Here is a 16223-nt window from a genome sequence, read left to right as displayed (position 1 = left end):
CCTTTATCACTATAATGTATTATTTTAAAGAAGATAAAATTTTGTGAATTTAAAAGTTAATGTACATATTTATGTACTCAGTTTACTGACAGGGTTTATAAGTTGGATTAAAATTATATTCATTGGATATACGTTCTATAAAAATTTTAAAGCATCTTTTATTTTACAAATCTTAGATCATTTATCAAAGCTGGTCAAATCAGATTGAAGTGTACAGCTTTGTCTTTTGCAGAGCCCGTGATAAGCATAGAAATTGAAAACAGTATTCTAGAAATGTACGAATTGATATTTTATAGCTCCCAAACCTCAGAGTAACTTTGAGATAATCACTTTCTAAGTGTAGCATTTTCTTTTTTCTCACTTAGATTAATATTTTTGAGATTCATCCATGTTCAATTACATATCAGTAGTCCTTTCCATTTCGTCTCATGGCTAAAAATAGTTGAATTGTACCCTTGAAAATGAAGTGGATTTTGCAGTATGTAAATTATATATCAATATGTGTGTTAAAAATACATTAAATGATTTATCTTTACAAATCTTGGTGAATGCCTAAAGAGGAAAGACAAAAAAGATAAACTTTTGCCACTGCAAGGTTTCCATTGTTCATTATGCAATCTCTTTATTAATAAATAATTACAAGTTGGGAATGTTTTAGAGAACTTTAGTTGTAAGGAATCCATTGCCAAGTATGAGGTTTGTAAACATTCAGCCCACCCACTTACTCTTTTTCTTTACTTGTTTTCTCTGTACTAGACAATAAGCTGGAAATAATTTTTTGAGTTGGTTCTCCTCAGTTGCATCATTGATACAAATTATTGAAGTCTCATTTTCCTGATGCTAGCAGAAACTCAGAATTAAGCACTCATCCCTTCCCTAACATGTACATCTTAAGAGTGTGAGCAAGGAATACAATACAAGCAGTTGATAATTTTGAAATACAAAGAAAGGGAAAAGAACAAAGTTTTTATTGACAAGTAATACATTGTGCTGATATTCCCATGCAGCTCCCTAACTAGTCTGTACCTGATGGGATTGCTTTTACGTAAAGGCAAATTGAATTGAGAGAGATGGAATGATCATCTTCCCAAGTAGCCATTACTCTAAAAAGGCAAAAAAGACTTAGTTTGGCACAGAATGTTAGATGATGTTAGAAGTATTTATATCTCTTTACTCCTAAAAGTGTTTTCTATCTTTTTCTGTAAAACACTATCACCTCAAAGAGAGGAAAGAAGTTGACAGAAACTGAGTGGGAATATGTAAATAACTTACTAATGCAAATTGGTTGTGTTGACCATCCATTTTGCAAACATGTAATTGATCCTGAAGAATTTCCCTCTGCTGTTGCATATCCTGGTTTACAATTATATTGTGTTTCTTCATTTAAAATATAAATAGAGGAAGATTCAGAAATGAATCCATTTTCAATTTCTACATCTGATTTTGAGCATGTTCCTAAAATAGAAAAAGTAGAGAAAAAAGTAAATATTTGTTGAATACTTCTTTTATAGAAGGGAACAAGTAAAAACATGGCAGTATGGTGAAACAATGAAACATCTGTTAATGAATTGAAAACAGCAAAACTGGAAGTTTCCTAGACATCTGTGAATTTTGAAAGAAAATAGTGAAAACACAGGGAAGGGCAGAATAAAAGCAAAGAATCTTTGAGACTGTCAACAGAGCTCTGGCAGGCCTTGAGGAATGCAGATCTAGCAGACTCTCAATTCCCTATAATTATTTGGAAGAGTTTCTGGCTACTTTGCAATAACCTGAACCTTTCTGGTGCTATTAAGAGGTCTTAGACTTCATTTAGTCAAATGCCATTTCCCAGGCAAAGATACAGTACACACTGCTACCACAGGCAAGGAAATAAATTTGTAAATCTTTTGTCTCCAGGAATTTAAAATAGTTGTCATCTTAAGTGGATGCTTAAACCCATATAGCCATGGTGTTTGAGAGAAATGTGGAAATGTAAGCAGGAAAAAACAAACAAGATAGCAAAAATAAGTTCTAATATATTAGTAATGTATATGTTCTTTATATATTATCAATGTATGTGTTCTATACATTACTAATGGGTATATGTATAAGGTAGTAATTATTTTAGTAATGCGTATGTTCTAACTTATTAATAATGTGTATGTTCTTTTTTGGTTAGTAATTAGAAAAAAATGTAAATGGACCAATTTTACTATCTGAAAGGAAAATAAATCATGTTAAAGATGATACATGTTTATAATAAAGCATTTGTCATAATCATGAGTTTTCTGATCTATTCTTGTCAACTTTTCGATTAATCTCCTCCAGTCTCTAAACTACAGTATTCAGTTTCTCTCGTAAACAATTTTATTTTCGATACCTATAAAGGCACTTGACACACAACAATATTTGTTAAGTGGATTAATGACAGAGTTGGTGCCTATGGCAGGAGCAAAAGGGACTTCCCTTCCAGAGGCTTAGGCTGTTGTTGAGGGCAGTGCTTCTATGAATGTGTAAGAAGATTACCATTGTCCTTTATCTCTATTGTATCCTAATTATCATATAGTTTCTATAATGGAATGTTTTGTAAATTGCAAACAATACACACAAACAACTTTCAGAGACCCCTTTACCTAAAAAGTGAAAGTCAGCTATAACTGAATGTGTCTTCATTTAAAGCGACAGAGCATGAGCATTAGCTATAAGAATAGATGTCATATAATTGTGAGAGATGTACAAGTGACCTTTGGGCAAGCATTGTTAATTAATGCTATAATTTTATAATCTACTTAAATCAATGCATTCACTTTGATATAAATACTGAAGCAGTGTTACTTTAATGTGTATTTAGTGTATTTTGTGATCTTCATGACATATGTGTGTGTGTGTATATATATACATATATATATATATGTGTTTTTTTCTTTTCTTGAGACAGAGTCTTGCTCTATCACCGAGTCTGGAGTGCAGTGGTCTAATCTCAGCTCACTGCAACCTCCGCCTCCCTGGTTCAAGCCATTCTCCAGCCTCAGCCTCCTGGGTAGCTGGGATTACAGGCATGTGCCACTGCACACGGCTAATTTTTGTATTTTTAGTAGAGACAGGGTTTCACCATGTTGACCAGGCTGGTCTTGAACTCCTCACCTAAAGTGATCTGCCCGTCTCGGTCTCCCACAGTCCTGGGATTACAGGACTGAGCCACTGCGCCTGGCCCCTGACTTATATTTCTATTGCTGCTTGGCCCTATTAAGTGACAGAATCCACTAATTATCCAGAAATTTTAAATGTATTCAGACACATTTGGAACTGGAAACTAGATAGGCTTCTGTTTTAAAATAAAAAGACATAAATTCGGCTTCAGAGTTGATGTACAAAATTTTCCAGTTAAATATCTAGATCTTAGACAGTTACGGACATACTGGGATCTCAAATGAGTGCACTAACTGACACGAATGCATCTGGGAGGAGGAGACCAGCTGTAAATACGTTCTTCCATATTTTTTATTATATCCATTCTCCAAATAATTGAAAATACATTGTCCTAAGGACCATAAAATGATTTAAAGGTAAATTAGAGACATGAATTTGATCAAAATAGTATATTAAAATAATTTTTGGAACATTTAAATAAGACTGCATCAATACTGAAAATGATGTATGACTCAAGAAAAACTAAAGCTACTACTAAATGTTTTTACAAAAAAGTCAGTATTCAATGTTACTTAACCTTAGTTTTTATGATAAAATATGTTTAAATTATATCGGTATTCTCATAAAGTTGCCACATTTATTTCTCATGTAATTTTCACGAAGATCTCATAACAAAAAAGATCCATTTTGGTCTTTTTGCTTGAACAACTCTTCCTTTGGTCCTATTTCTGTTATATAAGACAATATAATCATTTATTTGCTGTTCTCTCACTCTTTTCAAGTTTTATGCACATATTCTTGTAAAGAGGTTTACTTACTGAGGCATGGGACCGTTGGTGACCAACCATCTTGTGTGCAATGAATGTAATCCCAGTAACTTCCTGAAGGAGTCACAAAATTTTGATCACAGTAATAGGAATAAGATTGTCCTGCAGCTGCTGGAAAGTATAGTCTACGCAAACTCTTATAATATAGACCTCCATGTTGAATTTCTGGAAAATCACAAGGTTTCACTTCTTGTAATAAAAAACAAAAAACAGTATAAATAATGTTTTTCTATAACAGATAATCATATATGACATTTTTGATCAATAAATTATATTCTCTTCTTAGTGTAATGAATTAGGGGTTTTAGGGCAAGAAAAGTTACAGAAATCCAATGACCTAGATATGTGAAGAGCTGTTTGCTAATGAAGATTGAAGAAAACTGTGCAGACCTATTTAATGTACCCTCCATGAGTACATATATCGTAGCCCTGGTTGATTAGTGAGCTTCCTGGTTGAGAGATGAAGGCGCTTATTTTACCATTCAGCTCATCTGTCTTCTTTTTCTTTCTGTTCCATCCCATCAGAAATCAGAGCCCTGCCTGTTCTTCTCAGACCAACTCTAGAGTGGGAGATAGTAGTTTTTTGAGGATTTTAAAAAATTGACTGGAAGGAATGTAAAAACTACAGAGAAACAGGAATTTCTCATTGATCACATCACACAACAAAATAATATTGCTAATTCATGTCTCAAACCAGTTATTAAGACAAGATTTCTATCCTTTATTTAACCAGGAAAATGAACTAGGAATATTTCTTAATATCTAAATATCTAAGAGTGTAATAAGCATTTTTATTAATTTTTAATTTTGATTAGAAAATAAGATGTTTTTAATGTTTTATATACAATATTTTTTACAGTATATTTACAGTTTATTGAGGAATTTGTGTATATTGAATATTTGACATATATGTTTAAGCACTATGTTATTATAAGGCTTATACTTGATATTTCCAAAAAAAGTTTCCATTTCCATGGGATGATTCGGAGATAATTTACTACTTGTAATACCAGAAGAATATTCATTTTTTCTATGAAATATGATCATTGTTCAAGAAACCTTATACTACACATTATAAAAAATTCCAACATATGCACCACACACACACGCACAATATTGTTTATTATCTCCATTATTCTTTAGTCCACTGGTTTATTGTCTTTCTTTCTTATTTTTTCATTAGCGAGATTTTCAGGCAGTTTCTACAGTCTTGTTTTGTGGATTATAAATGTTGAATTCTTGCATCTCTTAAGTATCTTCATTTAAAAGATACGTGAGTAACTTCTCTAGGTATAGATTCTTGGCCTACAGTCCATATTTCTCTTCACCATTTTTTTTTTGCCACATTTTTGAAACTTCCAATGTGGAAGTTCAAATATTCATTCAGTTTCATTGCTTATAAATAGCATCTTAATTACTCTGATTTTAGGGTATAAATCCTCAGCTGTGCTGTTTTTGAAGCTTAGCTCAAGACTTCTTTCCCCTATTGCAATAGTCAAATAAAATCTGTCTTGTCATATTAACAAGTGTCAGATGAATAATTTGTCTTTAACACATCTGGCGTTCATCAATCTATTTCTTTTTGTTTGATTAGAAAAATTTTTCAACCGGTTTCTACAGATTAGTTATGCCGATTATAACTTTGAATCCTTGCATGTTGTAAATGTCTTTAACAAAGACCTGGGAACAATAACTTGTCTTTGTATAGTTTCTTGGCCTATATCCATATCTCTCATTGTTGATAGATTTTGCCCCCCATTTTTTGAACTTCCAAAGTTGAGCTTAAAATGCCTCATTTAGTTTCATTCCTTCTATGTTACATTCTGTTGTTTCCCCCCGACCACTGTTTGGATATTTGTATTATTTTCTCTTTACCTTTGAACTTTGCAAATTTCATCATGATACATTATGATACTTCAACATAGATCATTTAACACTAATTCCACCTTGGACAAGCTTGAGTCTTTGGATTTGCAGGAAGTGAGCCTTAAAAAACTCAATTAAAATTTCCATTAAGTGGTAGAGCAGAGATTTAAACTTTAGTTTTCTGATTTCAGAACAAGTATAGTTATCTATCTCATGATGGTGTTTCATAGAATGTAAATAACATAGTCTGCTGAGATTTCTTTTCAAAAAATCAAAAAGGAAGTATAATTAAAAGTAGCTATCATTATCATTAATACCACAAGCTTGAGCCACTTCATGACTTTTCTTTTTTACTGAGAAAATTTAAACCATTTTTATCTTTCTCATATGGTAGTTCTCTAAAGCAAAAAAAAAAAAAAAAAATTCCACCTATGATCTGATTGGCACTGAAGTCAGCAGAACTTAGAGCAGCCTCATTCTATTTCTTAGTCTTCTACCATGTGAATTGTAGACTCACAAGCAGTTATGATGGTTCTATCACAATGTTAACTCAAACTGACCTTAACGTTGATTAAAATACTCACTAATTTTTATAGTGGTTGCTAATCTGTTTGTACTAGTACTGCTGATTCCTTTGACCCAAGACCAGGATCTTACAGTTACCACTACTAAATTTAATTTTTTTAGATTTAGCTTTGCACGTAGGATTCTTCTGGAATTATGAATCTATACTAATGCAGATTCACTGTCACCATCTGCTGTAGCATTTCATTTGTGAATTTATACTGCATTTCTCCTAAACCGTTAAACTATGGGCAGACACAAAAGAGTAATGAAGCCTGAGAATAAAATGCTGTATCTGATAATCAGGTAAAACATTTAATAAAACTGCAAACTACTTGATAAATCATCAAACCAGTCAATTTCTCCATCTTTTCCACACAAATTTCAGAAGGTCACTTGCGAAATACTTTTGCAGAAAACCAGATATAGCTGGCATTCAGTTGGTCCAGAAGCATTTGGGCTGATCTAGCATTTTCATAAGCCAACTATAGAATAATTATTTATTTACCTTATAGTTTTTATGCACAGTGAAATTGGTTTCACAGTTACAATAGCTACCTTTCTTAAGAACTCATGCTTTTGACAATTCATCTGGGTTTGGGCACGATAATCCGAACACCTTGGGAGGCCAAGGTGGGAGGACTGCTTGAGGCCCAGTTTGAGATCAGCCTAAGCATCACAGCAAGACCTTGTGTCTACAGAATAAAAATAAAAAAGTAACTGGGCATGGTGGCACATGCCTATATTCCCAACTGCTTAGGAGGTTGCAGTGGGAAGATCATTTGAGCCAAGGAGGTCAAGATTGCAGCGACGTATACTGCGCTGCTGCACTCCAGCCTGGGCAACAGAGGAAGACCTTGTTTTAAAAAGAAGAGGAAAGAACATTTTTCTGTCATGGACTATCCACTTTAAGTATGGTTCACCTTTACAATGCACTGCAAGATAGAAAAAAAAAAGAATATGTTTGTAGAGACAGAAAAAATCTTGAAAAAGGCAAAGGAACCATCATAGAAATAAAACACCCTATTGACGTGAGAGACATTTTGCTACATTTGATGATTGTGGAAATTCCACAAATTCTTCAATACTCCTTCCTCAAAATAGTGGAGCCTAATTCTCCTCCACTTGTTGTGTGCTGGACTTAGTGACTCATTTCTGAAGAATAAATATGGCTCAGGTGAGAGTGTGTGACTAGGTGATAAATGACATGAAGGCTTCCTCCTACTCCTCACTCTCTCTGTCTTGAATCTTTAGCTCTGGAGAAATGTAGTTGCCATTCAAGCAACCTGTGGAGGGGACAATGTGGTAAGGTACTGGGACCTCCTACCAAAATCTGTGTGAGTGAGCCATGTTGGAAGCAGATCCTGCAGCCCAGCCAAGTTGTCAGGTCACTGCAGCCCAGGCCAACATCCTTGGCAACGACACAGGAGAGCATCTGACACAGAACTAAACAGTAAAGTCACTCCCAAATGCCTGACCCACAAAATCTGTGAGAAAATAAAGGTTTATTGTTTTAAGCAAATATGTTTTTAGCAAAATATGTTTCACAACCATACATAACTAATATACTAGGCTTTAGAGGGTGCTAGTCTCACCCAGTGTATTATTTTGGACATTGGAAGAATAGAGAAATATCTATTCATATACACACATCCATCTGTATAATTCTGAGTAGCAAACATTAAAGAGAATTTTAGTTTACAATAATTGTTTTAAATTCTACTTAGAATTATCTACTTTGGAAAGCAAAGACTTCTCAAAACTCCATATACTAAAATATTGAAATTTATTGTCTCCCCTTTTTTTGTGTTTAAGAGAAAGTAATTTCAGATTTTAAATGTAAGTCAGTATATGGACTGGAACTTACTGCTACATCCTGGAGCACGTAGGTACCCACCCACTACTAGTGCATTTGCCCTGTTTCCCTGGGTTGTAGGATAAAAGCCATCTATAAACTCACATATGATTAAATCTTCAATTCTGTGTTTTGTCTTTTCAGGTGTGTAGACATCATTTTGAATATAAGGAGGATTACATTTTTTTTTTTCTGAAAAGAAAACGGCTGTGTGGACTATGTAGAAATCACTACCCATTAAAATAAAGTACATTCTTGCTAGAAACACAGTAAAAATGCAAATAAGGAAGGCCTGAGTAAGGACTTACAGTGTTAACCATCCATGTATTCCACACAGAAGTCTTTCAGCTTTTCTCCTTGAGTACACATATCTTAGCTCTGGTTGATTTAGTGAGAGTCTTTGATACGGAAAGGAGACAGGCAAATACTGGTTAGAAGAGGGCGATTCCCTGTCAAAGGCCCCACCCCGACCCTAAATGAGGACAGGCATGTCTGTTTTCCTGTCCAAAATGTTGCCTTTTGGCCCTCCATGCTCCTCATCCAGCCCCCATATAAACCCAACACCTTAGCGGGCACACATACGCGGCTGAACAATCACAGCGGAACAAGGCAGCAGAGAAAGAGAGAAGAGCAGGAATGTCTGGATGCCGAGGGAAATGAGTTCCGCTAGGGGAGGTCGGAGAAAAATCTGGCCGCTGGGTGGCCTAACTCCAGGGGAAGACCACCTTCCCACTCCATCCCCCACTTCGGGCTCCCTATCCAACTTGCTGAGAACCACCGCCATCACTCAATAAAACCTTGCAGTCATCCTTTGAGCCCGCATGTGATCCAATTCTTTAGGACCACTGGGCAAGAGCTCAGGATACAGAAGTCTGTCACACTGGCCCCAGGCTCTTGAGATAAGGCAGAGGGTCCATTGAGCGGATTAACACACAAGCCGTCTGCAGACAGCAAATCTGAGTTTTGTAACACGCGTCCACTTGGGCGTCTGTACTCACAGACGCCTACCCTAGACGCTGCCGTGGGGCCAGAGCTCAAAAGCACTCATGCCGGCCTCTGCACCTGCCCGTCTGCAAGCTGCCCCTAGGGGTTTGAGCTGCGGGGCGACAAAGCAGATAACACCCCTCTCGCACGTCCTGCGAGGGGAATCAGGGAACTCCCCCATTTCATCTTGATTGAAAGACAAAGGTGCTTTCACCAGTTCAGTCCTTTTCTTTTTTTCTTTCTGTTCCCTTCCATCGGAATTCAGAGCCCTGCCTTTTCTTCTCAGAACGACTCAATGGAGGGAGCTAGTAGTGTTTATGTTTGATACCTAATGTAAATGATGAGTGCAGCAAACCAACACAGCGTATTTATACATATGTAACAAACCTGCACGTTGTGCACATGTACCCTAGAACTTAAAGTATAATAATAATAATAAAAAAGATTAAATTCATTAGCTTGTTATTCTATTTACTGAAAGCAATCTAAGAAATATAGAAAAAGAAATCTGGGAAGATGGCGGAGGAGGAAACACCTGGAATCTGACTCCTCACCTTTACAGTTGCATGGCCAGAATTTGTCTGATTGTACTATTTTTGGAGTCTATTGAAGCCCTACAACTTCTAGGGATGACTTGGATCGTAAGTTGCACTCACATTCAGTCAATTTTAGCTCCTAGCACAGTGTCATATGTTCATACCACGCTCCTTAGCCACATGGCAGGCAGCTGTATGTGTATTTATGGAGCAACCTGCACATAGCAGCGGGGAGCCAGAGTGTCGAAAACAACTCGATTCTTCAAATATTTGAGATTTGTGCTCTGATTGCTGGGTTCTTTGATCACAGAGATGCAGACAGAAAGATAGGCGGCCATTGTTTTTCGGCTTTCTCCATTGTTGCAAGCCCCTCCCCTTGGCTGATGTGAATTTGTCCAAGGGGAGATACACTAGGATATTCCAAAGCAACCGCATGAATGGGGAAAATTAGAAAATGACTATGAACACTTAGCAAAAAGTGCAGGCTTGGAAAACACTGGAGACAACCTAAAGTCTATGCTACAGGCTAATTCTTGACACAGACATAGCCTACTATATTCAGACAAAAACAATAAATGAAAACAATGCAGGAAGCCCCTCAACAAACATGTAGAAGGAGGAGAATCTGATTCCCATTGTTACCCATTATTAGATTAAAAAGTTCAGTTTTCCACAAAAAGAATATTTTGGCAGCCAGACACTAAACACTAGGATGTTCCAAAGCAACTGCATGAATGGGGAAAATTAGAAAATGACTATGAACACTTAGCAAAAAGTGCAGGCTTGGAAAACACTGGAGACAACCTAAAGTCTATACTACCGGCTAATTTGTGACACAGACATAGCCTACAACATTCAGACAAAAACAATAAATGAAAACAATGCAGGAAGCCCCTCAACAAACATGTAGAAGGAGGAGAATCTGATTCCAGTTGTTACCCATTATTAGACTAAAATGTTCAGTTTTCAACAAAAAAATTATGTCATACAAAGAAATAGGAAAGTATGGCCTATTAAAAGAAAAAAAATAAACTGAAAGTTTCCCTGAAAAAGCTCTGATGGTAGGTCTATTAGAAACTTTAAAATAACTGTATTAAAGATACTGAAAGAAGTAAAGAAAGATGTGAAGAAAGAAAATGATGTATGATCAAAATGGAAATATGAATAAAGGGATAGAAAGCCTGAAAAGGAAACAAAAAGAAATTCTGAAAGTACAATAATTAAAAGGAAAAAAATCAAAAAAGAGATTCAGAGGCATAGTAGAGCAGGCAGATGAAAGAATTAACAATTTTAGAAAAACCAAAATTATTGAATCTGAATAACAGAAAAAGAAATTAAAGTATAAAGTGAAAAGAATCTAAGGAACATGGGACACCAGGAAGCAGACCAACACACACAAAGTGGATTTCGGAAGGAGAAGAGAAAGATGAATAGAGAATGTTTGAAGAAATAATGGCATTAATAGAGACCCTCAATAAACTTAATGAACTTAATGAGATTAACTCAAAGAGATAGATATCAAGATACATTATAATCAAACTTTAATTTAATTAAGTTTTTTAATTTGTAGTGATAGGGTCTTGCTCTGTCACCCAGGGAGGAGTGCAGTGGTGTGATCATAGCTCACTGCAATCTCAAATTCCTAGTCTAAAGCAATCCTCCTGCCTCAGTCTCTTGAATTGTAAGGACTACAGGCATGCTCTACTATATCAGGCTAACTTTTTTCTTTAATATAATTTTTTTTGACAGGGTCATGCTCTGGCACCCAGGCCAGAATGCAATGATGTGATCACACCTTACTGTAGCCTCGACCTCCTGGGCTCAAGTGATCCTTCCACTTCAGCCTCTTGAGTAGCTGGGACTACAGGTGCATTTCACCATACCTGAATAATTTGTTGTTGTTGTTGTTGTTTTTAGAGACAGGGTTTTGCCATGCTTGCCAGGCTGACCTCAAACTTCTGGCCTCAAGCAACTCTCCCCATTCAGTCTTCCAAAGTGCTGGCGTTACAGGAATGAGCCACTATACTTGGTCATAATCAAATTTTTAAATAGCAAAGACACAGAGAGAGTCTTGTATGCAGCAAGAGAGAAGCAATTTCTCACAGGTAAGTATTTCTTAGTCAGATTATTAGCAGATTTCTCATCAGAAGTTTATAGGCCAGAGGCATTGGGCCAATATGTTCAAAACGCTAAAAGAAAAAAAACGTCTTTCAACTAAGAATCCCATATCTGTCAAAAGTGTCCTTCAAAAGTGAAGGAGAAATTAATTCATTCCCAGATAAACAAAAGCTGAGGGAGTTTGAGACCACTAGACTTGCCTTTCAAGAAATGTCTAATAGAGTCCTGAAGGGTAAAGTGAAATAATACTAGACAGTAACTGGACATTGCAGGAAGAAATAATGACCTCAATAAAGGTAAATACATGGGCAATTTAAAAAGGCTAGCATTATGGTAACAATGGTTTTTGTCTCCATTTTTTGTTTTTCTATATGATTTAAGAGACCAGTGAAGTTTAGAAAAACAATTATTAACCTAAAAGCTTTTATTGTTGTAACTTTGGTTTAAAACTCCATATTTCATTTTCTACATAATTTAGGAAACCAATGCATTTAAGTGAATTATTAAGTTTTGGGCACATGATGTGTAAAGATGAAATTCTGTGACATTAACAACGGAAAAGGGGGGATAGAGCAGTTTTTCTATATTAGCGAAGTTAAGCAGGTGCAATTTAACTGAGAGTGTTGTAATATATAATAGGTGTAAATGAGAGTTAATATTCAGCTTCGGAGGAATTTTAAGAAACCATTGGAGAAATTTTTGTGTTATCTTCCCAGCTGTTAAGAGTTATCATGGAAGCACATAGAGAGATTAGGTCTGTGTCACCTGAGTCTTAGAATTCATGTAATAAACAAAATTCCCTTCTAAGCTACATTGAAAACAAAGTGTGAACAAGACATAAACTTTGGTTTATTAAGCTACTGAGATTTGGGAATACAGTTATTCCCAAATAACAAGCAAATCTGCTTCTTGTGTTGGTAAATCTTTTACATCTGAAGACAAACAATGGTATTACACATACCATCAGCCAAACATAAATCTAATGTGGGTTATCATTTTCTTGTGTTCATTAACCTCTTTCTAACATATTTTCTTAACAGTGCTTATAAGTGAAGATCGCTCAATTGTGTAGTGAAATATATTTTCCAAGGAACTGCTTGTGAGCTTAAGTCAAAAATTAAAAGAAAAATAAATTATAAAATCAACTCAAAAGATAATTGCAGTTTTTAAAATAGAGTATAATTAAAACAAAGTTTGTATGTGTAATTTTGAATCATACCACTTAAAATGTGGAAGGCTCAGAATAGATCAACTCTTCTACCACCAACCCCCATCCCAGCAACATATGGCAATATCTGTAAAGGTCACCCTTTTAGAAAGTCACTCGACCTCTGATTCGATGTTGGATAATACTGTTACCTGCTTCACTGACTGTGACAGTCCTCATCAAAAGCTAACTTGCTCCCCTTCGTAAGTGTTTTGAAATATCTCAAGACAGTCATTATAACGCTATAACTCTATCTTTTTGCATGCTTCTTACGCTACAATTTCTTTAACTCTTCAACTATCTATATATTGTCTTCTATGCTGTGATAGTTTGAAACCAATCATTTTAAAACGTGGTAGACTAAGTACAATATATTATTACAGATATGCTATTTGGTGGGTGAACCACGCAGTGGAGATTAATTTGTTGACACTGAAAAACACCATTTCCTTATGAAGCCTAAAAGAGATAGATGTTCCTCTCAGTACCACCATTGTCCATTAATATTAGGGTTATTAATGAAACTCTTCATTTTCTTCCACTTAACTGCATTGTTAGTTGAATGTTTCCTCATCTGATATTAATGGAATTTTCTTTTTAAAGCTAAATACACATGTTGTTTCCACTAGGTAAATCTGCCAACAAAAAAATAAAAATTCTTTTTGACTTGAATGCTTCATGAATGATTTATCTGTTCTTAACAGATAAATAATAAAGGCATTTTTGAAAGAAGTTAAAATTTTAATTAAAAATATGTTGCTGATTTTATTTCCTTTGAAGATTAGTTCTCTTGAGATAAATGGTATAGAATAATATTCTTTAAATGTATATATGAATTTCAATATAGACATAGGTTTGCTGTGATAGCTATTTTCTCTGAGTCAGCTGCAAAAATAACCCATGCCCTATTTATTCATAATATGGTAATTATTGACAGAACTTTTTTTGGGGGAAATTCATGTTAATCATTCTCATTACCTCTCTCAAAATTAACTGAACTTCTGCATTTGTGGTGTTCCCTTTCACTCAATTTTTCTATCAAAACAAAGAAACAAACAAACACAACAGGCACAAAAAAACCCTGCCAATAATCTTTGATATCATCTTCTCTCAACCATTTTCTTCTGGGATTACAGCAACCATAACTAATTTCCTGATCCTGACCTCTCATCTTTATAATCTATTTTCCTGTGTATAAATTAGTGATCCTTCATCTGGTCATTTTATTGCTCCACTTAAAATCCTTAGTGGCTCCCAAATCAGCTAACAAGACAAGAAGAACCTCATTCCACTTTATCCACTTCTCCTACGTAGTATGGTCTCTTCGGCAATTCTGGAAATTTTATCAGCGTTAATTTAAACTCAGCTTATCTAAAACTATACCAAGTTATGCTAAAGCTGTCAGTTCAGGTGCACACATTAGCAATAATTGTTTTTTGGAAAATAGAGAAAAGAAATATTACTATAACATAAGAAAAAATCTGAAATGTAGCAAATTATCTCCAGAAATAAAACATTTTGTTGAGTTTTGTGGCATTTTGTTTGTATTAGATGGCATACATTCTTACCATAGTTAGAATTCATGTATCAGGTGAGACATATTATTGATATAAAAATATAGGTCCACACACGAATATACATATATATTCATACATTCTATATGTATATTTATATATGTATATGTATATACAAAGAGAACATTGAACACTACCACAATTTAAATAGCAAATAATTTATGTTTCTTTATAATTTTGAAACAAGTTTCTTTATATCAAGTTCTTTATAATTCTGAAACATGAGAGAAATTAATATTTACGTTCTATTTGTTATGAAATCTTAAGAATATAACTAAAGAAAAATTAAGTTTGAATCATCATAAATCAGAGAGAACTGGAAGGAGGCTAGTGACACAACAGCTTTAGTGTGTAGATGAGAAGACTAAGTTCAGAGAAGTGACATCTTTACTTTCTGGGAGGCGTTTGCTAGTTACAGAACTGGCTCCAGAGGCTTGTTGGGTGACGCATGACAGCTTCTCTGACCCAGTCCGTCAAGCACGGATGCACAGTTTTTTGCTGAGTGTCTCCTCCGTATTGGAAAATCTAACCATCCCTGCTCTGTGTAACATCCTGAGATACTCTTACATTTTCTTATGATTGCAGGATATTTAGTCCAAGGAAGAAAGAGACGTAAACTAAAGGAAATCATTTTATTTACTTATTTATTTATTGAGACAGTCTTGCTCTGTCGCCAAGGCTGGAGTTCAGTAGAGTGATCTTGGCTCACTGCAACCTCCACCTCCCGGGTTCAAGTGATTCTCCTGCCTCAGGCTCCTGAGTAGCTGAAATTACACGTGTTTGCCACCACACCTGGCTAATTTTTTGAATTTTTAGTAGAGACAGTGTTTCACCATGTTGGCCAGGCTGGTCCCAAACTCCTGGCCTCAAGTGATCTCCCCGACTTGGCCTCCAAATTGCTGGGATTACAGCCACCATGACTGGCCAAAAATTCTTTTTCTTAATAAACGACATTTTCGAACCTGAAGTGAGGTTTTCATAGTTTAGGTTCATTTCTAAAAATCGTTTCTCCCACTAGAAGGCACTGGAGTTTCATAGAGAAGTTATTAGAACTGGGTGTGTAGTAGGAAAAGTCAAGGAAAGCCTGGAACCTTTTGTTATGCGAAAGCTTAATGGGGGCACGTGAAATACACACAGAAACCAGCTTCTTAGTGAGATTTGAAACTAATTTGAGCATCCCAAAGAAGTACAATGGCAACAGAGTGTAATGCACTGGGTATTGAAAATGATCTAGTTTGAAAGAGATTTAGAAGCAATCCTGCTCTAAAATACTAATTGTCACCTTTGATACTTTGTTATGGCAACTCTAATAGATGAATGAAATATTTATACAATTTTAAAAGGATATTCATAATTAAAATAATTTTCCTGACAACCTATTTTAAATTAAATGTAAATAACTTACAAGTTGATGGAAGAAATAATGCTCAATACAAATTCAATGAACATTATAATAGGTTACAATTACTAATTTTCTGTCAAGTTTATCTTTCAAATAGCGTGGCTTCCAAAAGAATTATTATTCAGAACTGAAACATCAACTACCATTAAAAACAAAGTTTC

General features: G+C 35.1%; 1 protein-coding gene across 8 annotated transcripts in view, besides 1 other annotated feature; it reads right to left on the bottom strand.

Moving 5' to 3' along the window:
• The window catches only part of CFHR4 (complement factor H related 4), a 30582-nt gene that overhangs the window by 12071 nt on the left and 2288 nt on the right, over nucleotides 1-16223 (bottom strand). For 5 of the 8 annotated variants that reach the window (NM_001201550.3, XM_047440640.1, XM_017000111.2 and 2 more), the window contains exons 2-3: nucleotides 3948-4145; nucleotides 1273-1455 (exon numbers count right to left, since the gene is read on the bottom strand). In NM_001201550.3, coding sequence (NP_001188479.1) covers nucleotides 1273-1455; nucleotides 3948-4145 — 381 coding nt within the window. The remainder of the gene's footprint in view (nucleotides 1-1272; nucleotides 1456-3947; nucleotides 4146-16223) is intronic. The other 3 variants (NM_001201551.2, XM_047440639.1, NM_006684.5) reach the window with 3 other exon arrangements.
• Nucleotides 8810-9104: a silencer, noted in NCBI's record as "tiled region #8052; K562 Repressive non-DNase unmatched - State 24:Quies". NCBI's record gives its function as "represses a minimal TATA promoter and a strong SV40 promoter by Sharpr-MPRA in K562 cells {active_cell/tissue: K562}" and the evidence as "EXISTENCE:reporter gene assay evidence [ECO:0000049][PMID:27701403]".

Source organism: Homo sapiens, chromosome 1 (genome assembly GCF_000001405.40).
Source record: "Homo sapiens chromosome 1, GRCh38.p14 Primary Assembly".
Classification (NCBI taxonomy): Eukaryota; Metazoa; Chordata; class Mammalia; order Primates; family Hominidae; genus Homo; species Homo sapiens.
This window is presented reverse-complemented; position numbering and strand designations above follow the sequence as displayed.